The sequence below is a fragment of the Homo sapiens genome, chromosome 1 (genome assembly GCF_000001405.40).
Source record: "Homo sapiens chromosome 1, GRCh38.p14 Primary Assembly".
NCBI classification, from domain to species: domain Eukaryota; kingdom Metazoa; phylum Chordata; class Mammalia; order Primates; family Hominidae; genus Homo; species Homo sapiens.
The window spans coordinates 208466537-208492319 of NC_000001.11; the positions used below are offsets into that span (position 1 = coordinate 208466537).

A 25783-nucleotide genomic window follows, 5' to 3' on the forward strand; every position below is an offset into this window, starting at 1 on the left:
TATTAATATAGCCTTTTGTTACAAAGGGTGCCCCCCAGAGGTGTGCAATGCGCAGCACACATGGTCATTCATGAGAACCCTACTTGGAGAATACTTTCCTTTCAGAAATAAATGCACATGCTATAACTCATTTAGCCTTCTAAATGGTACTTTCCTCTCTGACTTCTAGTACTACCACATGCTAATTATATCTAATGTTCTAGTCAGATGCCCCAAATTCACAGGCTATATCTACCCCCACACAAAAGTTCTGCTTGGTCCACAAAATGTTAAAAACAAAACAGAACAAAAACCCTAGTTTCCATTCCTTTAAAATAAGGAGATTTTATATTAAAATTCCAACTTCCAGCTTCGCTTGATCAATCAGTTCTGGCAACATATCACCCTTCCAGTGAGGCAACCGTTCATTCAAGCTTAGGATCTGCTGTTCCTTAAGAAAAGGCCACAACCTTGTCCCAACATGCCCTATTATCTCAGTCCTACCCTGTTTCACTAATTTGTGTTATTCGCCTGTCTCCTGTAGGCATGTCAATATGTGACCCCTGTGTCATTTACCTCAAAAGGATGTTCCCACCATTTTGGCCTTGGAACAATTTATTCTTATGACTGGAGAGCATTTGCAACATTTCTTTAAGCAGCTATCTCTGTCCTCAGGATTCCAGAATTTTTATTTGCCTCCACCCAACCATGATGGGAGTAACTGACCTAGATCTACTGTGAACCAAATGTCAAAAAGTACCTCCTCTGCCCTGAGAAGCCTGGTGGACTCCAGCCTGCGTCAACTGTGACATCTCAGCGCTGCTGTTGGTCTGTAAACCAGCCTTCCCTGTAGCTGTTCTCTACCCTCTAAAGCCTTTATTATCGTCAGGTTCTATTCTGGGTGGAGTGGAATATTAGTCTCTGTAGTGAAACTGAGCAGGGCCCCCATACTGGGAGAGCGGTGTTCTGAGGATAAAAACCAACAATGTAGTGCCTTCTGCTTTAATGAGTTTATCTTTGTTTCTCCTCTTCAGAAAATGAAATGCCCTTGCCCCAAATTTCTCTCAGTGTTGGCTTTGCAGGGCTCCTCTCCTCGTGTTCTGGGCTCATTAAATTAAGTTTCTGTTGATAACCTTTGGCCAGACCCATCTTCAGGAAGACTCTAAAGCATGTTAATAAGCCAGACTTTAAAGGCAGCAAAGATCTCCAGGCCCATGGTCCCTTTCATGCCTCAGCGGATTCTATGGCAAAAGGATGACACGACTTTTATCAAGGCTTTGGCTACATTCATATCTCATGACATAGATTTTTTTTAAAAGCAGAATTTCAAAGAGTCCTCTTTATCACCATATCTTTAGTCTTTCTTAACGGTTCATATGGATATTTCCTTAGAAGTTGTATAATCAAAGTCATAAAGTCATTTGTACATTTATATAATTTTTTATCTTCAGGGGCTCAGAGTTGGGAGAATTGTGTCTTTAAAAGCAATTGCTGATAAAAAGACCAACTTCAAATCAGCCCTGACCTTTTGTTCAACAGCTCCTCCTGTTACAGAACACATTCAAATAGCTATTTAGATATTGGAGGGGAGAAAATTCCATTGATTTTCATAGTTAGGGGGGTTGGTTGTTTCTGTAGAAAGGATTGGTGCCGAGAGGGGGTTTGGGCCCTGCTTTTCTCAGCCACACTCTAATTGAGGCTCTGAGCCCTTATGCCTGTGGGGTGGCACAGGCTGCTGGCAGGCCCTTTTGGTTTTCGTGGCTCCAGCTGAGGGGTTTGCTTGAAATAAAGTGCCCACAGGTATATGAATATGTCTGGGAGCAGGAAGAGGACAATTTCAAGAGCTCATTAGACTCGGCGATTGCTGGGAAATAGGAGAATGCATTTCATGGGAGTTCCCATGCTGTCTTAGGATCCAGGAGCTCTGGCTCCCAGGCTGTCACCTGGAAACCTCCCGAACCATGTGCCCTTCTCCTGCTATTTAGAATGTATAATTCAGCAAACTGTTTATTGGGTTCCTGCCATGTACCTGGCACCATGATCTGCACTCTTATATACATTATCTCATTTCATGCTTTACACTCAGTGAGGCAACTGTCTTTATCCATAGCTTATGTAATGAGGAAACAGATTCAGAATGGTTAAGAAACATACCCACAGTCGGTCAGCTTGGGAGTGGAAGACCTGAGACTTGTAACCGGGTCTTTGCTAAGTCCAGTCTTTTCTCCATCAGAGTGTATCTTACCCACTTCTAAAATAAGCAGGTATCCTCTCAACACCCATGGCCTGCAGCCATAGGCCAGAGGAGCATGTGCTTTGGATTCATGGAATTTCTTATGAACAGCTGGCTACTCTCTATTCCATCCCTTGTCAGAAAATCCTTACTGACATATGTACTAGCTAGCAACCTAAAAATGTTTATAAAGTGCCTAGAACAGTACCTGGCTAATAGTAGACATGCAATAAAGCACTGTTATTACCAGCGGCTTTCTGGGTTTATTAAGGCACTTGCACAAAATGCTCACAGTTCCTTTAGCAACTTTGAACAAGTACTAGATACTAATAGGCTTATGATTTATTTTCCTCTTTAACTAGTTAATAATCATTGGTTAGATAAACCATTTTTCCACTTATCGTATTACAGGCTAAGCTCTTTACATATTATTTTATTTAATGCTCTCACAACTTCTGAGGGAAGCATCATTTCCTCAATTTAACAGAGTGGAAAACTCAGAGAGGAGTTTTCTTTTGCTTACTCAAAGTAAGCGGGAGTGCTGAGATTCGAAACCAGGCCTGTTAATGCTAAGCACCTTGCTCCCTCTACCCTTCCTCTCAGTGATCAACAGCTTTGCCAGGAACAGGCTCTGCTCAGATTCCAGCATCTGCCACGGGGCTCAGAGATTTTTGTTTACCTTAAGCCCCAGACGTGGGTAGTAGAGTAGTGATTTTCCAATTTTGCTGCACATTAGAATCACCTGGATAGAGGAAACTTTAAAAATCCTAATACTCAGATCATACCCCACACAGATGAAATCTCTGGGGATGAGAGCCAGCAATTTGTATTTTTAAAAGATCCCCAATTGATTCCAATCAACAGCAACCTTAGCAAACTGCTGTCCTAGGCTCTCGGGGACCCCTGACTTCTAGAATCCCAAAGTCATTTTGGATAGTTGTGGACCAGTGCATGTATCTTCAAAACAGCTGGCTGCTGGGGACAGAAAGAACTATGCTGAATCTAAGAGGCATCCTCCAATTGGAGTGCAGGCCCATGAATTCTTCGTAAGTTCCCAAGCACTTACTCTCTGTTAAAGCTTTAACACTGTGCTGAAGGTGGCTCTGACTCTATCGGGCAAAGCCCAGAGGTGTAAGCAACAGCTGTGTGCCAAACAAAACTGCCCTGGAGTTTGCATGGCAGATCATGTCTTTACTACCATGAGCACCATATATATGAAGAGGCATGTGCTTTCACACATTATTCACAGCCATCTGCCCTGCTCTCATACACAAGCTCCAAATTCTCCTTTCTTTTGCCGACTGTCACCATGTGGCCTTTGCTGATGATTTATACATCATACCCTCCATTAACCGATGGGAAACGTACTCATGGTAATTTCCTTCCATCATCTCATTCCTAGTAGGCTCCCAAATAATTTCACAAAGTGTGGTCTTTTGGTTAAGTTGTTAATGAAGTGAGCTCTAATTAACATTAGGAGTGTCCTTCATACACAGTCTAAGAGAATGGCAAGATCTTGAAAAGCTCCATCATCATTAAATTAGTAAATTATTATTGCAGCAGCCTATGTGTGTTCTAACTTTTGATTTAAAAATTATCGTAGTGGGTTGATATGTTGTGTTTATCTTCTGCTAATTGAACGCTACCTTGCATTTAATCACAGTAAATTGGCCTTCCCTGTAAATAGATGTAAGGAATTTTAACGCTTGTTAAATCTCAGAAGCTCTGGAAGTGATGGGAAAGATGGGGAGGAGAGAAGGGGGCTGTGGAGGAGAACTGGGACCTACCTGGAGCCATTAGCCTCCACTGTGTAGTGTTCGCTTTAGAGGGTTAAGTTGCAGCTCTCTTCAGGTGTCAGAGATGCAGCCAAATGGCCAAGTTTTTGGTTCTGGGTTGGGTGCACCCAGGAAATCTAGAAAAAGGTAGTAATGGCCTCAACCACACACAGATAAATCCCTCTTTGAAACAGAGCAATAAATAAAAGGGCTCAGGGAGATGCCAAGCTTCAGAGTTGCTCTTGTCAGCATCTCTGCAGGAGCTGCCAGCTTGGGGGGCCTGCTGTCAATTAGGCAGTGACAGGAAATGAACAGGTAAGAGCCAGGCTGATGGCCACCACATTGTGTCCAGGGGGAGACGGTTGATTATCTCTGGAATGGAAAATGGGATCAGAATGGAGTTTTCCAATGGGAGAGGAGTTCAGAATGAAAATGTTAGTCTTTACCATGCCAAAACAGATTTGATTTTTATCTTTAGTATAGTCTCTGGTTGCCTTGGCTGACTTCCACCCTTCTCCATTGGCTCACATTTGCTGCCTTGGTGGACATTTCTAGCAGAGCCTATCCATTCCCTAGCCATTTCTCCTGAATGTCTCCTCTGCTGCAAGCTTTGCTCCAATCAGCTGCTATTTGCCCTGATCCTATATAACTCTCATACATTATAAACATCTTAAAGAAATGGTCGCCTTTCCCTTGGACTCCAGAAATCAGCTAATAATAGTAATAATAGTAACAGCCATGTTTATTCAATGCTTGTATGTGCCAGGCATGTGCTATAAGCTTTATACATCTTTTCTCATTTAGTGCTTTCTGCAAACCTCTGAGTTAGGAATTATTAGCACTGTAATTTGACCAAGGTCAAAAAGAAGGCAAGTGCAGTACTATGAACTCAAGTTGTCTGACGTAAAATAACCTGCATTTAAGGACTATTTTATCTGCCACTTTCAACTGTAAGATGCAATTCTTTCCTCCTCACAACCTACCCTTTTATCTTATATTTCTTTTTCTTTATTGTTATCGCCATCATCAAACATTTGCTAAGGGCTTTCTAAATAAAAGGCACAAGACTCTGCACTAAGAAGATGCAAAAATATATAATGTAATCATGGAGCTAGAGAGGCTAGTGGCCAAGTGGGGAGGGAGGTGGGAAGTATTATGTTTAAAATTTTTTTTTAATTTAAAAAGTCATACATTTTGACTTTTTAAATGTCACAATTCTACTCCCAAAAATATATCTTAAAGAAATAATGAGAATTTCAGCCTGAATTTTATGTACAAAATCTTTATCAAATATTTATAATAGTGAAAAACTAGGAACAATCCAAATATCCTTCAATGGGAGAAAGGTTTCTCAAACTTTTGTGGAAAATGAGCTCTAAGAGATACTTGTTTAAAAAACAGTCCAGAGTGAATACTACCTGCTATACTGTCATTTTGAAGAATCAAAATCCACGTGGGACTCTTTGAAGACTTATAGAATCCAGAATAAAGAGAAATATGTTAACTTGGTTTAACCTGTTAATGTGTATTTTATTAGCATCCCAAAAAATTACAGTTGGAAAATACTGAGTTACATAGAGACTTGAATATTTGTATGTTGGAATATTATGTAGCCATTAACAACCAACTTTTCAAGAAATATTCAAAGATGTGGGGTTGTGTTCATCATACTCTGCTAAGTGACAAAAATAGGATAGAAAGTTATACACAGGTGGCCGGGTGCAGTGGCTCATGCCTGTAATCCTAGCACTTTGGGAGGCCGAGGTGGATGGACCATCTGAAGTCAGGAGTTTGAGACCAGCTTGGACAACATGGTGAAATCCCTCTCTACTAAAAATACAAAAATTAGCAGGGCATGGTGGCATATGCCTATAATCCCAGCTACTCAGGAGGCTGAGGCAGGGGAATCACTTGAACCCAGGAGGTGGAGGTTGCAGTGAGCTGAGATCGCGCCACTGCACTCCAGCCTGGGCAACAGAGTGAGACTCGATCACAAGAAAAAAAAAAAAAAAAGCACAGTTTTAAAGTTTTAATTTCAGTTTTATAGTGAAAAAAAGTGGATGGGGGAAAAGAATTTAAGGATTAACCAAAATGCTAACTGGTTATTTCCACATGGTAGATTTATGGGTAACTCAAATTTTACTTCCTTTCTGTATTTTCCAAATTTTCTCCAACAAAAATGTTTTATAAAGAGAAAAATGTTGCTTTCAAAAACATACGTAGAGCAATTAAAAAAAATACATGGCCGTATATGCTAAGTGGTCTAGGTTCAGATCATAGAAACTAAAGGAGTTCAGAGGAGGAGGAGAGCTAAGGTCACCTGGTCTGTATTTTGGCCGAGTCTCTCACATTTCTGCATGAAGTCTCCCTCTGAGCTAAGCCAAACTGTGCTACTTCTCATTTTCTCTATATTCTCTTCCCATTCCTACTTCTGTGCCATTGCTGAAACTCTTCCCTTGGCCTGGCCTTCACTTCTCCACATCTGCAGTCCTATGCACACTGTCAGGCTTTGCAGAAAATGCCAATTCGGATAACACCCCCAGTTGCCTCACGCCCCCCCCTTCTCTAACACTTTTGTTTCTTTTATATTCTACCTCTTATTATGGTTGCTGATGTACAATGTCTTATCTCTTTACTCAACGTTAAAGCTCCTCGAGGGCAAGACCACACGTTGTCCTTTGCAGTAGACTGAAGACACACAGCCTTTCAACACCTGTCTCAGTAATTCATGCGCAGAAAGTCTTAACTGAAGTGAGCTTTGAGGGAAGAATAGGACTCAAGTGGAGACAGAGTATTCCAGGAAGGGGGAGCAGCATGAGCAGGATCTTGATGTAGAACCTGCGTGTCATGTTTGGGGAGAGGTGAGTATGCATGCTGGCATGGCTGGAGGTGCGGATCGTGGAGGAGTTGGGAAATCAACTTGGAGATGAGGAATTGGAGACAGATTTTTCACGAAGGGTCCTAAACAGGCTACGGATGCTGACCCTTCTTTTGTAGGAAATGTTTTCATACTTTACCTTGTACAAGAACCACTAGCAGTGCTTTCCAGAAGTGGAGAGCCCCAGAGCCTACACTCAGAAATTGTGATTTAGTCAAGAAATCTGGGCAGCTGGGAAGCTGCACTGTTGATAATAATCACAGGAAAATCTTTGGCAGAGGTCTGAGTGCCAGGCGTGGAGGAGCACAGCTCGACTGGCAATGGGAGAAGCAGAGGGATGTCACAGTAAAGGCAGCATCATTGTCCTTGTCCTGGGGCATAGAAGAGTGGGGAGACGGAATAGGACAGCAGGCAGGGTGAGGTCCCTGCAGCCACACAAACACACAGGAGTGAGGAGTACACTTCAAAGGTCAAAGCTGCAGCGAGCTGTGATTGTGCTACTGCACTCCAGCCTGGGCACCAGAGCAAGACCCTGTCTCAAAAAACAGACAAACAAAAACCAAACAATTTCACAAAATCTCCCTGGATTTCTCAGGCTCTGTTTCTCCCTAAGCCCCTCAGGTGCTGGAGCATTGAGTCTCTCAATCAGGCAGTGTGTAGACAGGAGGTAGGGACTGCTCCCAGATGCCTCCCCTTCCTTGAACAGGCACAGCTGTCCTCCATGGATAACTTCATCACATTGAGTTTGGTTTTTTTCCTCAGTCTTTGCTTTGGGAGACTGGGCTTCCTTGGTGATGCTTGTGGAGAATTTTCCTGCTTCAATTGAAAGAAAAATTCAGATGACCCTCTGGGGTAAATATTCCCATTTCACTTACTGCAGAATTCTTACCATCTGTTTTTCCAAGACAGTTGTGGAAGATATTATGGGCTTATTTGTGCATTTAGGACATACACAGAAAGGACAGAGACCCAGAATTGCAGGACTTCTCTGTGCCTCTTCCAGGACGCGAGTGTGGCATAAAGAGGAAAGGGAAGCCTGCTTAGAAACAGGCCCAACAACAGAAGCCTCCAGGTAAAGGTACTGAGGAAGGGGACTAGAAGGAAATAGTTGCTCCTGAGGGGAGTAACTCAGAGAAGCTGGTTGTATCTGTTAGAAAGACAAATCTAAATGACTGAAATTTCAAAAGCATCTAAGGCATCCTTGCCCCATCGATGGAGTTTCTTGCTACTATTATTTAATATTTATCTGCATTAAGTTTTTGCTTACCTTTTGTAATCCTCATAATGATGCCCTGAGTTAGGTAATACTACTACCCTGTGCAGACAAGGAGACTGCGGCTCAGCGTGGCTAGGCCTTTGCTGAGTGCATACAGCTAAGATTCCCTGAGTGAAAATCTGGGATGGGGGTGGTGAATAGAAAAGAAGGGGAAGGATAATAAAACTCTTTAATTAGGATTCAGTGATCTGTGGAGATACTAATTTTTGTTTGGAACTGCAATGCGGTATGTCACTAGAAAGGACCAGTCAGGGCTGTTCATCTGCAAACTGGAATGGGAGTAGACACAAAGGTGGGGGAGTGAAAGACAATTAGAGAAGAGTGAAAGATTCTGAAAAATGTTGAGGTACAATAACCTTTTATTAAATAAAGGCTCTTTGCCTTAAACTCGTCCCCTAGAGTAAAGGAAATGCCTGGGTTTTCACCCCATTGTAATATTGTAATAAAAACAGTTTTCGCATCCTGCCATATTGAGCCTGCTTTATACTGACCCAGCCTCTACGAGATGAGAGAAGATAAACTCATAACTGCAAAGGTGTGTCTTAAGATGGCAAAACCCCTCAGCCCTTTTGGAGTGAAGTTTATTTTCAGCACCATCCCCATTCTCAGAGGCCCTTGGCTTCTGCTCCCCACTGTGTATTTAGGAGATGAGGAGGGAAGGAAAGCTCTCTTCTTGTGGGTTAACCTGAGATCCCAGTAGAGCTTCCTAACCTGCCCTCTCAGGTCCATGTTTTGCTACTTGAACTCCTGCCTTTCAATCACATAGTGCTCCTCTCTCTCATTCATTTATTGAAAACTGAGTTGTGTAAGCCCCAAGCACAGTGGAAGCCATGACATAGGGATAAATGAAAAATAGCCTCTGCCTCCTGAAGAGCTTCAACCAAATGAGGAAAACAGCATGTTAAACAGTTGCAATGCAGTGCAATAAATGCTATGATATTACAAGATTCCATGGGGACTCAGAGGAGAGAGTAATTAGCCATGCGCAGCGGAGCTATGACTCAGAGGAGGATGTCACAAGCTGGATCTTGAATGAAAGGAGATAGGATTGCCAAGAGGAGAGGGGAGAAGTGCGCTTTCTGCAGAAGAAATGGCATATACTGAAGGGATGAGGTTTAAAGGAGAAGGACGTGTTCAAGAGCATATTTTTGCTCATGCAGAATGCTCACTTTGTTATCTGGACATACTCATTACTTAATACCCAGCAGTTGTTTTTATTGTTGTTGTTGTTTGGGGCAGACTTGGCACCAGGTTACCAAAGGCCTTGTAAGATTGGCTGTGTGTGTGTGTGTGTGTGTGTATGGACAAGTGAGGATCATCGAATAGTTTTTCTGTGTTTCATAACTGCGTTTGGTGGGTTTCATAATTGCATTTGCTTATTTAGATACTCAGGCTGCAAAGCCAAGAATGGGTTTTCAAGAGCAAGATTGGCATAGAAAAGCCAGTTGGAGAGGCTTCACCAATCCTTCAGAAAGCAGTGCTGCGGGCTAAGAGGCAGAAAGGATGGAGAGAAGTGGACGAATTTGAAGAAATTTTAAGAAATTAAGCCAACAAGACTCAGTGGCTGATTGGATGGGAGGTGAAGGAGAGGAGAAGTCAAGATCACTCTCAGACACTACAGAAGTTAGGGCTCTCATGACTGAAGTTATGAAAAACAAACTGTCCCATCCATGGATAAAAGACTTGCCTGAGTAAGCAAGGGAAAAAGAATATGAGCCAGGAATTCCTGGCCCCTCTCTCTTGTGTGCACTGCCTCTGCTGGCTGGAATGCTGTGTTTATACTTAAGAGCTCTTTGACACTCTCCAAACCATGGGTTTCAGCAAGACCACCCAGGGGAGAGCTCAGAAAGCAATGGGATGCTGTGTTAACAGGATGCAGAAGTCTCCAGGCAAGAGAGTGTTTATAGTTTAGCTTTGCCCTGGGCTTGATATAAGATACTGCCTACATTTGACCTTGTTCCAGCTCCACTCTGACATCATCTCCTGGTCATTATTGACCTTTCCGCTCAGATCAGGCATGGAGGAGGAGGTGGAGGGAGTGGGGGTGCCTCATCTGCAGGGGAAAACAGAAAGTAAGAGTGATTTGTAGATCAAAAGACAGCCTGACTAGGGCCACCTAAATTGAATTCCCAAATGGAAACTGGGAGTCTGCTTGAGAATGCAGTTTAATTAACTGTGATGTTCAGATTGCTCCCCATCTGAGTGAACATGATGGACTGCTCTGAGAGCATAGCTTGGCAGGGCTGTGGTGCAGGAGCTGAAGAATCATCTTTCACAAGGAAGCAAGGGGTCATGGACTCAAGCCAGGTGCACAGGCACCTGCCTTCGCGACCTGGCAAAGAGAAGGTACACAGAAAAGGGGAGGGGGTGCAAGTATTTCACTCTTGGAGTCTATGAAAGAGACAGAAACTGGAAGTAGAGAGTGAGAAGCCCTCAGGGGTTTTTATGCCTGTGATATAACAGAGCTTGGAGTTTGAAGAGAACTTAGACAATATTTAGTCTGATTCCTCCATTGTGCAGAGGTCGCAAGTTGTTAACTGGCAGAGCCAGAACACAAACCCAGTCTTTCTGACTCCAGAGGCCTTAGAATGTAAGTCCTGTACCTCCTGCCCAGACTCAGGAAGTGGAGAGCTGAGCAACAATCTGGTTGATTTCATCAGGATCATTGTCCGACCCAAATAACAGCCTTCCAATCCCTCAAAGACAATTATTTTTCTTTAATAGCTGACTCTTACTCCTCTGCCCTCTGAACCTAGTTTCCCTGCTGGAAATCGTTTAGATTATATTCATAATAAGAGGACCAAGTAAAAACATGGGAAAAGAGAGTATTTTCTCCTAGTTGTTCTGTTTTTCTTTCTCCCAGCCAGGTGGTATTTTCCTGTCAAATGTCGGGGCCTCAAATAGATCAGGAGCTCTCCCCATCTTCCTAAGTCTCTGTTAGGCAACACTCTGTAGATGGGCCTTTTCCTTTTCACACCGTTCATATCAAAGTTTACCTGTTCAAGGGTTTCTCTCCTCTGAGATCATTGTTATTATGAAAAAGATATATCTGCCAAGATGTTCATAATGACCAATGATACCTTAACTTGATAACTTTCATACATTTTTTAAAAAATATTTTTATTTAAAAATCAACATATGATCTTGATTTAAAAAGAGAAATAGTACAAAAGAGAGTACAGTAAAATGCTAAATGCATGCCCCAAACTCCAAGTCACAATTTCCAGGCCAGAAATTATGTCTTTCCCAAACTAGTTTATGTATACACAAGCATATAAATGTATATTTTAAACACATTTAGAACCACACCATAGATACTCACCTGCTACTTGACTTTTCCATTTAAAGATGTGTCCAGATTTGTTTCCACATCAGAATATATAGGTCTACCTCTCCTTTTTAACAGCTTCCTTGTCATTTCATTGTGTGGATGTACTATAATTTAGGATGATAGGCATTTAGGCTGTTTCTAGTTTTTTTCCACTCTTACAAATGATTTTTAACATTCTGATGGTAAAGTACATTTTCTGTAAATGCTTTTGCATTGAAGCTCCTTAAACTTAGCAGGGGGAAAAGTAACTCCTCTTACTGAAGCTGGTGGTGCTGGTGGTATTGGTGGGCTCAAGGGCTGGTGTGTCCTGCCCTTTCTGGTGCACCTCCGAGGAAATGTTCAGGGAACTGCTAAGGGTCCTGGAAATTTGGTTTGAAAGCTGTTGATGTAATTGCATATTTACTTTGGCAATGGCATTTATTTATATTTAAAAAGAAGGTTTCTAAAGAATGAACTGCAAGTAGAAGAATTTGGGGCACTACACTAGACTATTATTGGAGATGACCTGGTAGGTAACTCTGCACTTCCCATTTCAAAACCACACCAGAGACACTCAATTCACCAATGGGAGGCCAAATAAAAGAGCTCTAAGCTGGGAATAATGACTACAGGGATCCTGTCTCTTTCTCTTTGTGAATTACACATCATCTTCAAGTCTTTGTTTCAAGATGAGTAAAATGGCCAGAAAACTCTTGCCCCTCTACCAGTTATCATAGAAAATATAGGTAAACTTCTTGGTATTCTAGTTCATGACATGCAGATATAAAACGTGATTCTCATTGTCTTTCTTGATCCTTTAGATAATAGGAATTTAGGAGATAAAGTTAATTTGGAGATGAAAAGAAAGATATTGAATTAGACTTTGTATATGTCAAGTTCTTAAGAGGATTTTTACATGTAGTTCTTGGATTCAGGAGTGAGATCATAGTTGGAGCAATAGAAGCAGGAGTCACGGTGGAGTCAATACATAAATGAATAAATGAATGCCTACCCGAATGAATAGATGAGAGGGAGGGGCAAAGGGCACCAAACTCTTGGTCAAAATAATCAGTATTTTTCTTGCGCTTATGAAAACATATCTTTTTTTATGTACATTTGATTCATTTCTTTTTGAAGCCTGAACTATCCCCTGCAGAATGGCTTAATTTCCCTAATAGTCCAGAGGACTGGGGGATTTTGTCTTGTTTTCTGAGGCTCAGAATCCTAGCATTGCAGTTGTGCTAACTGAATCCTAGGTCCTGAGTCTTTCTCTGATTAACTTTCCAAGTGACTCAGTTTCTCTAGTGTTGGGGTCTGCCTTGCCATTGCCTGTTTCTCTACACTTAAGTTTCCCCTAGCGTGATCCTAAAGTCATCCACATCAGAATCGTCAAAGAACTTATTAAAATTCTGTACTACACTTAAAGATTAAAAAACTCTGTAGATGATGACTGAGACTCTCCATTTTTAATTGGGACTCAATGTAATTCTTACACACACTAAACAACTATTGTCCCACACAAATAAGGGCTGAAATTCTTATTCCTGTCTCAGACCCAAGACCTTTTAATTGTCCCATAGCTGACTTCGTGTCTACCTATCTGCTTGTTTCGATCTCCGTGTGAAGACTGATGCTGTCTGTTGCCATAGTTTCCAGATAAAGAGTGCCGTCTGCTGGACTGGACTTCTTACTGAGACGTGTAGCTGGTTGTGTCTTTCTCCCAGGGGCTGGCTCCACCTCCATTAGCTGGTTTTCCTAGGTTCCGACCCTGTTCAATTGGTTCATTTCCCATCCTGCCAATTAGGGTCTTTAAAAAAGCACAACACTGCAGTCAACGTATGTAAGCAATTATTATGTACCATTGTCTCATTTAATCATTACAGCCCCAACAGATATTATTATTTTGTTACATTTGCACATATGCTCAAAAGAGTTAGAGTATGACTGTTAATTTCCTGCAAGCATGTAACATTGTGATCTTTCTTGCCATGTCCTTCCGGATCGTCACATCTGAGTCCTGTCCATCCCTTCAGATCCACAAATCCAGCTTAAGGTTGTTTTCTGGGCAGCTCAATAAAAATGCTACTGGGAATTCTTCATAGACAGATAACCAGAGCTGGCCCAGGCAAGAAGTTGGCATCTGTGAAATTTGAAATTGATTATGGACTAATAAGGAATCCTAAGTCAGAACGTTCAGGAAATCCAAGTAAGAAGAACGGCAGACAGGCTATTGGCAACAGGGAAGGGTCCTGAGTTGTAGGGATCTGAGCCTTGCACCAGAACTCAGGAACTCAGTCCTGTTGATGGAAATGGCTGCCAAAATAGTGCAGCTTCCCAGTTCCAGAGTTAATCACATGGATAAGAGCTCACATCCAGGGATATAGTTATCAGAACAGCAGTGCACAATGATGGAGCTTTAGAAATAAGTCAAAGACAGTGTGATCAGACTTTAGGCTCCAGGACAGATCCAAACTGGCCCCAAGGACAACTGAATGGGGAGTTGCAGAATAAGGAGCTGGAGCTCCTTCAATCTCTACTAAGTTCAGTGTCTGTGGGGTGGGGAGAGTGTGGTTAGTAGCTGCAGTTATAGAAAGCATCAATAAGGCTGCGAAGACTGGGACCCAGGAAGCCGAGGTCAGATGCTTTGCAGTTACAACAAAGCAGGGTTCTTTGTGTTTTGGAAAAATCCACAGCAATTTCTTGACTTGCTGGGATTTAAAACCAAAATCAATTTGTATTAGATTAGCTGTATGTCATTATAGGCCAGGCTTTCAGGCTCCACCAGTTTTAGGTAAATTGAATTGGCAATTCAGTATCCTATTCAGGTCTGAGGGTCATGCGGCTGACTCCAAGAAAAACATCAACAACAACAGAAAAACACAAACAAAAAACACACAGATCAGACAGGCAGGAAATGGAGCCAAAGGGCCACAACTTTAGAGGTGCAGACCGATAGCACAAGGAGTCCCTCAGAGGCCATCTTGTCTAACTTCCTGCTTCCAGAAAGGACAGGCTCAGAGAAGTCTAGAGAGCTGGAAATTTAAACTGTGTTAACAGTTTGCAGAGGAAGAGGGCTGTCCTTGATGCTGACTCAGAAATTTCCTGATATAATACTATTGCTAACCATTGCCAAGCACGTTCAACATGTGTAGTATTGTACTGTGCTCTGTTACAGGTATCACTTCATTTAAGCATCGCCATGTTTGAAGCAGGTATATTATTGTCACTACCATTCATGAGGAAAGCAAGGATTAGAGAGGATGAGCATATCACCCAAGGTTACCCAGCTGGTAAGTGGTAGAGCAGAATCTGAGAATAGTTCTTTTGAGGCCAACCATTTTTCCACGTCACACTGAAATTCAAAGATGGAAGCCTGAACCCCTCTGCATTCCTTGTAGAGACACTTTCCCTAAATCTATCTTTTGTCTTTTATGCCTCTCATCCTGTCTTTCCAGAAATTTATTTTTTATTGTTTTTCTGTCCAGAAAATATTTTATTTGGTTTAAGATTATTTTAACTATGACAAGTAAATATTTCCCAAACAAAATCTCTCTCTTAAAACATTGCTCTATCCCATTCCTAATCCCAGAGAAAACCAACTAAATTAGTTGGAGGCCTTTGAGCAGAAATTCCTTTATGATACATAAGACATTCAGTATGAAATTCACTGTCTTTTTCCTCTCTCCTCTACCATCCCAACTGCATGGGGAGGCAGGAATTCAGCACTAGGAAATTCAGAGCCTTCTTCTCCCCACTGTCACTGCCCGTGAGCACATCAGCCCATCCACAGGGACATGTCTGCCACTGTCGTCAATTATTATTTCTCAGGCACCCACTGGGTGCCCGGCACATCAGAGAAGAAACGAATTGACTCTGCTTTCAACAATCACCCTGCAAACAGCCAAATAATTTTGATGTTCTTCAAACATATTATAATTAAAAAATTACATGCTGGGAGAAAAATTATAAGCATTTAATCAGAAGAAAGGGTCAAGCTGATGAAATTAGGGAGGGAAATGTGTTGGCTTTTATCAATGGAGCCAGTTTCATCACTGTCCTGGTGAAAGCAATCAGATTTGAGGCTAAGATGTTTCCATCAAGTTACCTTTGAATTGAGAAAATATAACTCATCTTGTTTGTGCAAAATTGTCTTTAACCTCAGTGCTCCTCTCTGAGGTCACTCTCTTGCAATCCATTTACATGGCCACAGCTTGCTTCCACTGTGGATTTCAGACCAATGGTGACCTAATATGTAAATGCATTTAAAAAGCAGTTAGCCCCAGTGACAAACTTACCAATACAGTATAAGAGAAAGCCCTCAGATGGTAACCACTGAGGTATCTGCCAGAAAGAAAATCTGTTTGTAAGCTGGAGTGCTTTTCAGAGAGTCGAATCATTCAAGGAATCAGAAAATTGCCTAGGTCTGGGAGCCATGAATGAGAGACCATGGAAATCCAAGAAAAAAACAGAAGAAGCAAATGTGATTTTTTTTTCATTGTCCCCTCTAACAGCTCTCAAGGCTGGTTATACAGCAGCTGGATGGGTAGGTCTCACATGCTTAAAGAGATCTTGTGCTTTCATCTCTCTGGCTCAAACTGACCACCTAGTCTATGAGTCACTGGGATGGAGAGAAACTTAGCTTGCTGCCCTCTTTGGTGGAGGAAGCCCTGCTCCTCCGCCCAGAAGCAGGGAGACTTTGAGAACGTGTGTGTGTGTGTGTGTGTGTGTGTGTGTGTGTGTGTGTGTGTGATTACATTTTTACTCCTTCTCCTCAGGGATAAAGAGGTGACTTAGGGTCCTCTCTCAGTTCTAGTATAGGCAGCATGATGGGGACAAAAGCATTCCTGGAATGGGAGGTAAAGGAGTTGAGTTCCGATCATCAAGAATTGTTTCCCTCCCTGGAATTTGGCAATATATTATATATAATAGTAATACTTTGATAATAACAATCCCAATCTCTTTTAATTTTATAATGCTTCATGACTTCAAAACTTTTATCTAAACTATTTTTTGTGAGGCTTATAACCATGTGAGATGGTTAGGCATATATTTTTACATATATTTGTTCTAAACTGAAAGGTAGTTATTTGTCACTATAAGTTATTTGTCACTATAAGTAATAAGTGACTTGCCCAAAGTCACACTAGCAGATAGGAAGGGCTCAAACACCAATGAGATTTCCAGTGCTCTTTTCAAAATCCTGATGTATTGCTAGAGGGTAATGATACCTGCCCTACATTACCCTTGTGGGCCTCAAAAGAAATAATGCTTTTGAAAGTACTTTGAAGAATATAAACTCACTGTATAGTTTTAAGTTTCTACAGTCCCCAATGGGTATGTGAATGTTCCATTTCCTATGTAGCTGGGTTCAAAACCAGTGACATAAATTCCTGGTTCCACCAGGTGTTCTGTTCTCTTTTCTGAAAGCAAATGCTAAGGACAAGGCCTCATCCAAAGATGAATTCAGAGAAAGAGAGAGAAATACAATAAAAATGACAAATAGATATTGGACAAAGACATAAAGTAAACATGGCAAGAAAGCAAATTGCTGCTGCCCTTCTCTGAACAGACAGAAAATGCTGAGCAATGACCAAAGAGGAGATGCTGGAAGGATGGAGACCAATGCCAGAGATGGGGATGGGATCTCAGAGCATGCTCCAAACTCACATAGCTTATATTAACTATGACAGTTTGAGAGATGATGAGCTGGAACTGTTGACAGCTGAAGACAGGAAATGGAAAGAGAAGGCCATCTCTCCCAGGATTACGTTCAACAGCATAGAAAGTTCTGGCCCAGGGATGAGCATCAGAGGAGCACAGAGGGAGTCTATGAGCATAACTGTTTGAACATATGTGTGCATACATATGTATCAGCTGCACCCCTTACCATTCATTTATCCATCCAGCTGTTTGTATCTCTCCATTCACGTATCATTATCTGCTGTGAGCTGGGCACTGGGCTAGGTACCGGGGTTGCAAAGATGAAAGACAAGAGTCCCTGTTCTCCAGAAACTCATGGTCTAGTAAAGAAGAAAAAGAAGTAAACAAATGTTCACATCATATACTTGTGCTACAAACCAAGTAAGGGCAGCTACTATGGGTGCTCAGATGAAGGCCACCAAAGTCAGAATGGAGTGAAGGTAGGGAAGGGGAGAGAGAAAGGGGCTAAAGACAGGAAGAGCTCCTGTGAGGAGCATGAATTCCATACTAGCTATACCACAGCATTTAGGGGCTTGCTTTTAGAATTTCTGTGAGACATTACACAAAAGTTCAAATCAGGAGCTTTATCCAACTCAGCCTGTGCTTTTCAGTACAAACTTCTCCTTCCACTTTGCCCCTGCCACACAGAACTCTGCTTTACCAATTAAAGGATTATTACAGTTTTCTCCAAGTGCTCTTCTTTGCCACGACCCACTAGTTCCAACATCTTCTGAGACTCAGGATTTCAGGGTGTCTGATCTGCCCACTCTGAGCCAGCCTACCCATCACATCATTACCATCATCTGATCATCCCACTCATGACACATGTTTAGGTGCTGAGGGAGAGAAGAGAATGTTTTCTGTTTGGCTATGGACCACTGTTTTTTACTTCTGGTCAAAGCCGCTCTAAATTTGCAGCTACATTTTCTACCAAAAGAGCAAAGGGCAGCTGGTTTTAGCTCTAGTATCTCTCTGCTTGCACTGCCTCTGCTCTCTAGCATGTGTTCTTTGCATCTCTTATCAAGAATGTCTCTTTTCCTTCCTTTGTCTCTTACCTCTGATCTAGGGTATCTTTTATGGACTCTTCCTCTGCATTTTGGATTTTCTATCATAGATTCTGTTAACTTTCCTGTTATGCTATTAGAGATTCATCCTGAATTCTTTTACACTTCGTCTGAAACTTGACTTTCTTCTCCTATATCCTCAGTTTGATCAGTGAAAATTGTTAAATATTCTCAATTCTGCCCTTATCTGGCTCAGTTGAAGGAACTCTCTTCTCTGGGCTAGTTTAGCATTCTTTATAATACTCTCCTACAGTCTACGCACATTCATCATATATTGATCTTCAGCACACATTTAAACAATTAATACTCAATATTTATAGTGTAAGAAAATTTTACCTTCTTGTTGAAGTGAGTTGATTGTCAGTTTGCCTAAAAGCAATTTGGCTAAAGCAAATTATCTTGATAATCAATATTGTAGTTTGCCTAAAATTCAACTCTTATAAAAACTCTCTTTACATCATTTTAAAAGATCTTATTTTATAAAAACATTTCTGCCACATTTAGTAGCTTTTTAGGTAATTTTAAGCAATTGTCCAAAAAGTATTACTAACTTAATTTTGTATTTTTAATAAGTGTGGATTAAATTTCCATCATTTTATGAATGGTAGGATTGTTTGGAATCCTTGTGAATAGTTTTTATATTTATTTTATTTTTGGATACCAGGATTTTACCTAGATTTCCTAAAGACTTTATTTTTCAAAATTTTTTCTTCAATAAATATATACAAAGTCTGCATAAAACTGATTTTTCGTAACTTTTTGTTACTGATAAAAAGCTTGCAAAATGACCTATCTTTCCCCATTTCTCTATCATTTGGGGAGAAGAACATAATTTTCTCCAGATGTTCATCCTCATCCTAGTTCTTGTTACCCGGTGTTCTCTTCGTCATGTGTTATTTTGGGGCCTAGAGTAATTTCATAAAGAGGAACAGGCTGCAGGTCATGTCTATTGGCCAATTTGTGCGATTTTGGTCAGATGGACCTGGACTAAAAGTATAAATCACTTAGGGCCTGGAAAAGCCATGAGATCTGTTGAATCTGTGTTGAGATTTTTAAAAATTAAATTAAACATCCAAATTCCTTTCTCAGAGAGATTTTTTACATGGATTTTTAAAGTAAGTGTACAAATTCTCATGGCTAAATTGTTTCACAAGAACATTTTAATGGGGTCATTTGTGTCCTACTTGTCACAAATCAGAGGAAACTTGACATTTGTTTTACTTAAAGCTCTCTTACATTGTGTTGATCTTTCAAGTGATTCTCAATTTCCCATAAAGCATTTTCCAGATTTACCAGGTACCCTGTGACGATACACAGATGAGTCAACTTTCTACAGTTCCTGTTTTACAGCAACACATAAGAATTAAATAATATGCAAAAAACAAATGACAGTGGAAGTGGGAAATGAGAGTGAGAAATAATAATGGATACATACATTACATAAATGCATAAAAGAATATAGCAGCCTTTAATGGATTAATAGAAATAGTATGCCATAAACCAAGATGTACTATTAGCTCATTTCTGTGCACTGGGCTTTATTTATTTTTTCTAATAAGGGTAATAATTACATGAAGAGAAACAAAATTAATAACTATTTTAAAAAATGAAAGGGTCTAAAGAACACTATAAAGGACAGAAGAAAAGCATAAAAGAACAAATATTTTAAAAAGTTGGTAATTTGAAAGCCCAAGATACAATGATAGAAGTATGTCAATAAGTAAGAATAACACATATAAATGATTTAAATGCTCCGTTAAAGAGAGATTTTTCAGAAAGAGGAAAAAAATCCAGTTATTTGCTGTTTGCAAGAGACAATACCTAAAACACACGAGACAAAATAATTGAAAGTAAAAGAGAAATAAGGATATTAGACAGAATGCTTACCAAAGAAAGGTGGTAGTAATAAATTTCTAATGAACATTATTTTAAATTGACAAACCATAATTTTGTACATTTACAGGGTACAAGGTGATGTTTTGATACATGTATACAATGTGGAATGATTAAATCAAGCTAATTAACAGCCATCACCTCACTTGCTTATCATTTTTTGTAGTGGGACATCTAAAATTGACTAAGTTATTTTAAATCTATGATACATTATTGTTGACTAAAGTCACCCTATTGTGCAATATATCTCAACAGTTAATAATATTTAAAAAGCTTTATTGAGATGTAGTTGATATACAATAAACTGCACACATTTCAAGTGTGTAATGTGATGAGCTTTGACATACATATACACCAATAAAATCATGACCATCATCAAAATAGTGAACATACCCATTACCTTCAAAAGTTTCCTTGAATGTCACTGTAATGTCTCCCTTCAACCCCTCACTGTCCGGCAAACATCAATCTATTTTTGTCACTATAGATTTGTCTGTATTTTTCTAGAATTTTCTAGAAAATGTAAGAATGTTGTATATAGCCTCTTTTTTTCTGGCTTCTTTCACTCAGCATAATTACTTTTGAGATTGATCCACTATTACTAGAATTATTCATTCATTGTTGCATAATATTCCACTGTAGAATATAGCACAGTTTGTCTAGCCATTCACCTGTGAATGAGCATGTGGGTTGTTTCCAGTTTGGGGCTATTACAAATAAAGCTGCTAAGAATATTTATGTATAAACTTTGTAAGGATATATACTTTCAATTTTAGGGGCCAAATGCCTAGAAATGGAATGTATAAAACCTAGGTAGGTAAATGTTTAACTTTTTAATAAAATGCAAGACTGTATTTCAAAATACTTATACCATTTTACATTTCAGGTAGCAGTGTATGAAAAGTTCCTTCATTTTCTTGTCATCACTTTGTGTCCGGAATTGGTGAGTTCTCGGTCTCACTGACTTCAAGAATGAAGCCACGGACCCTCACGGTGAGTGTTACAACTCTTAAGGTGGCGCGTCTGGAGTTTGTTTCTTCTGATGTTCGGATGTGTTCGGAGTTTCTTCCTTCTGGTGGGTTCATAGTCTCGCTGGCTCAGGAGTGAAGCTGCAGACCTTCGCAGTGAGTGTTGCAGCTCTTAAGGTGTCGCCTCTGGAGTTGTTCGTTCCTCCCGGTGGGCTCGTGGTCTCGCTGGCTTCAAGAGTGAAGCTGCAGACCTTCGCAGTGAGTGTTACAGCTCATAAAAGCAGTGTGGACCCAAAGAGTGAGCAGTAGCAAGATTTATTGCAAAGAGCGAAAGAACAAAGCTTCCACAGCGTGGAAGGGGATCCGAGCGGGTTGCCACTGCTGGCTCGGGCAGCCTGCTTTTATTCTCTTATCTGGCCCCACCCACATCCTGCTGATTGGTAGAGCCCAGTGGTCTGTTTTGACAGGGCGCTGATTGGTGCCTTTACAATCCCTGAGCTAGACACAAAGTTTCTCCACGTCCCCATCAGATTACTTAGATACAGAGTATCCACACAAAGGTTCTCCAAGGCCCCACTAGAGCAGCTAGATACAGAGTGTCCATTGGTGCACTCACAAACCCTGAGCTAGACACAGGGTGCTGATTGGTGTGTTTACAAACCTTGTGCTAGATACAGAGTGCCCATTGGTGTATTTACAATCCCTGAGCTAGACATAAAGGTTCTCCAAGGCCCCACAAGACTCAGGAGCCCAGCTGGCTTCACCCAGTGGATCCCACACTGGGGCTGCAGGTGGAGCTGCCTGCCAGTCCCGTGCCACGCGCTCGCACTCCTCAGCCCTTGGGTGGTCGATGGGACTGGGCGCCGTGGAGCAGGGGGCGGCGCTCGTCGGGGAGGCTCGGGCTGCACAGGAACCCACGGAGGTGGGGGAAGGCTCAGGCACCGCGGGTTGCAGTCCCAAGGCCTGCCCCGCGGGAAGGCAGCTAAGGCCCTGTGAGAAATCGAGTGCAGCGCCGGTGGGCTGGCACTGCTGGGGGAACCCAGTACACCGTCCGCAGCCGCTGGCCCAGGTGCTAAGTCCCTCATTGCCCGGGGCCAGCAGGGCCGGCTGACTGCTCCGAGTGCGGCGCCCGCCAAGCCCACGCCCACCCGGAACTCCAGCTGGCCCGCAAGCGCCGCACACAGCCCCGGTTCCCGCTCGCGCCTCTCCCTCCACACCTCCCTGCAAGCTGAGGGAGTGGGCTCCAGCCTTGGCCAGCCCAGAAAGGGGCTCCCACAGTGCAGCGGTGGGCTGAAGGGCTCCCCAAGTGCCGCCAAAGTGGGAGCCCAGGCATAGGAGGCGCCGAGAGCGAGAGAGGGCTGTGAGGACTGCCAGCACGCTGTCACCTCTCAACTTGGTATGGTCAGTTAATTTTAGTCATTCTAATATGTGTATAGTGGTATCTTATTGTGTCCTTAGGAACAAATGATCTTGAACATCTTTTCGTGTGTGTGTGTATGTGTGTATGTGTGTGTGTGTGTTTGCCATCTATATATATATTTTTTGGTAAAGTGTCTGTTCAAATCTTTTGCTCTTTATTTAGTTATTTGTTTTATTGTTGAGTTTTGAGAGTTCTTATTGTAAAACAGTTTTGATAATTACCAATACCAAAAGAAGATTCCCATTTCGTGGAGGATAGCAAAGATCATCATTATGCCAACTACCAGAAACGGATGTCCCTATACTTATGTCCATGGCATCATGGGCTACTGCTAATGTCCACCATGCATGGGTGACTTATTTGTCTGAGTTTGGTGAGACAGAATACACTCACATGCAACGAGTTATGTAAAGGGGTTTATTACTTAAAGATAAACAGCAAGGGACAGAAGAAGTCTCAGATCCATTGTGAACTGGTCCCCAAAGGATCAAGAAAGCTGGCCAAAGTGGATAAGGTCTTGACTGTGGGTGGGACCCCCAAAGGGCAGCACACCCCTGATTATATACTTCAGGAACCATGTGCCTTATCAAGTGAAGCTTTGAAGGACATCCTGCTTCTAGAGGAAGAAGGAACAAAGACCAGGCTGTCCCAGAGAGTTCCTCCCTAAGTTAAGATATTACATATCCAAAGATGATGAATAGGAACAAAACCTAGGCTGCTTCAGGCAGTTCTCCCCTCTCTAAGGATACTACATTCCCAAAACATTCAACAGTTATTCTTGAGAACTACAAGAAAGAAAGAAGAGAAAACTAGGTCAGTCCAAGGCCACCCAAACAACTGTCTTGAGTTTTTGTATTCTACGTACAAGTCCTTCATGTTTTGCGAATATATTTTCCTAGTCTGTGGCTTGTCTTTTCATTGTCTTAGTGGCATTTTTAGGGCAGATTTTTAAACCTTTAATAAAGATAAATTTATCTGGTTTTTTTTTCTTTTAAGGATCATACTTTTGGTGTCATATATAATAAATCTTTGCATAATTCAAAATTTTTCTCTATGTTTTCTTCTAGAAGTCAATTATCTTTTAAAGAGGTTTCTTAAAGGAAGACAATCTTACATATTTATTCATTTACTAATAGTCAATTTTAATATAGTCAATTATCTTTTAAAGAAGTTTCTTAAAGAAAGAAAATCTTACATATTTATCCATTTACTTATCCATTCCATTGTGTAGATTGATGTTTTGGTCAGATATCATTTTATTTTTGTCTGAGTAATATCCTGTAGCATTTCTTATGAGTTTGCTGGTAATGAATTCTGTCCATGTTGTTGTCTGTGAAAATCTCTATTTCACCTTTATTTTTGAAAGATTTTTTTTTCTGGACTTAGAATCGTGGACTGGTGGTTTGTTTGTTTTTTAATTTTTGTATGTTAAAGATGTTGCTCCACTCTCTTGCTTGCCTTGTTAATGATAAGACATTTGTTGTCATCTTTCTTTCCTTCCCTATATATAATTTTTTCCCCTGTGGATACTTTTAAGATTTTTTTTTTAACATTGGTTTTAAAAAACTTTAATTATAATGTGCTTTGGTGTAATTTTCTTCATGTATTTTGTGCTTGGGGTTTGCTGAGCTTCTTAGATCTGTGGGTTCATAGTGTTTTTTTCAGATTTGGAACTTTTTTGCCATTATTTCTTCAAAGGATATTTGAAAAATATGTTCTCTCATCTCTCTTCTTCCTTAGAAACTCCAATTACATATATTAGGCATATAATGGTTGAATTAGTTATTTGATGCTTTGTTCATTGTTTCCTTTTCTTTTCTCTTTGTATTTTATTTTGGATAGTTTCTGTTGCTATGTTTTAAAATTCACTATTATTTTCTGCAATTCTAGTCTATCATTAATTACATGCAGTGTATTCTTTATTTCACACATTGTAGTTTTCATTTATAGAAGTTCAATGTGTATCTTTTTCATCTTCCATGACTCTACTTAACTTTTTGTTAGGTATAGTTTATTTATTTATTTTTTGTATAACTTTATGAGGTAGTTGCACAATTTTGTTATATGCAAAGATACATAGTGGCGAAGTCAGACCTTCCAGGGTACCATCACCTGAATAATGTACATTCTATCCATTAACTTAACTTTGTGAAAATATAAAATGGTTATAATAATTGTTTTAGTGACTTTTCTGCTAATTCTAACACTTGTGTGCTATTCTCAGTTTGTTTTTATTGACCAATTGGTATCCTCATTTTGAATTGCATTTTCCTACTTCTTGTCATGCCTTGAATTTTGTTATTTTAAAAAATAATTTCAACTTTTTTTTTGAGTTTCAAGGGGTACCTGTGCAGGTTACTTACAGCATGCACCATGAGTATATTGTACGATGCTGAGGTTTGGAGTTCAAATGATCCCATCATCCAGGTAGTGAGAAGAGTACCCAATAAGTAGTTTCTGAGCCCTTGTCCACTGCCTCCCTTCTGCCTCTATCAGTTCCCCATGCCTGTTGTTCCCAATTTTATGTATACGTTTGCCCAATGCTTAGCTCCCACTTATAAGTGAGAACATGTGGTATTCGGTTTTCTGTTCCTGTATTAATTCGCTTAGGATAATGGCCTCCAGCTGCATCCATGTTACTGCAAAGGAAATTATTTCATTCTTTTTTTATGGCTGTGTAGAATTCTATGGCATATATGAACTTCTTTTCTTTATCTAATCCCATGGTGGATTCTTTATCTAATCTACCATGGGATTAGAAAAAGAAAAGAAGTGGGCACCTAGCTTGATTCCATGTCTTTGCTATTGTGAATAGCGCCACAATGAACATATGAGTGCATGTGCCTTTTTGGTAGAACAATTTATTTTCCTATATTTATATACCAAGTAATGTTATTGCTGGGTTGAATGGTAGCTCTTAAAAGTTCTTTGAGAAATCTCCAAACTGCTTTCCACAGTGGCAGAATGAATCTACATTCCCAGCAACAGTGTATAATCATTTCCTTTTCTCCACAGCCTCACCAGTATCTGTTGTATTTTAAAATTTTAAACATGTTGAGTTAATTTTTGCATATGGTTCAAAGTTGGCACCTATCTTCATTCTTCTGGATATGATTGAACAGGTATCTCAGTACTATTTATTGAATAGGGAATCCTTTCCTCATTGCTCATTTCTGTTTACTTTGTCAAAAATCAGATGACTATAGAAGTGTGGCTTTATTTCTAGGGTCTCTACTCTGTTCCATGGATCTATGCGTCTATGTTTTTGTACTAGTACCATGCTGTTT

At 40.6% G+C, this 25783-nt stretch overlaps 1 long non-coding RNA gene across 2 annotated transcripts; it reads left to right on the forward strand.

The window, feature by feature from the left end:
- The first annotated feature begins 688 nt into the window (after positions 1-688).
- On the forward strand, positions 689-21095 carry LOC107985460 (uncharacterized). 2 transcript variants are annotated; one of them, XR_001737819.1, is made up of 3 exons: positions 689-807; positions 14627-14741; positions 20995-21095. It is a non-coding gene; the product is annotated as an uncharacterized LOC107985460 (long non-coding RNA). The 2 variants fall into 2 exon arrangements; XR_001737818.1 differs by lacking the exon at positions 689-807 and adding an exon at positions 10208-10487.
- Positions 21096-25783: the final 4688 nt, after the last annotated feature.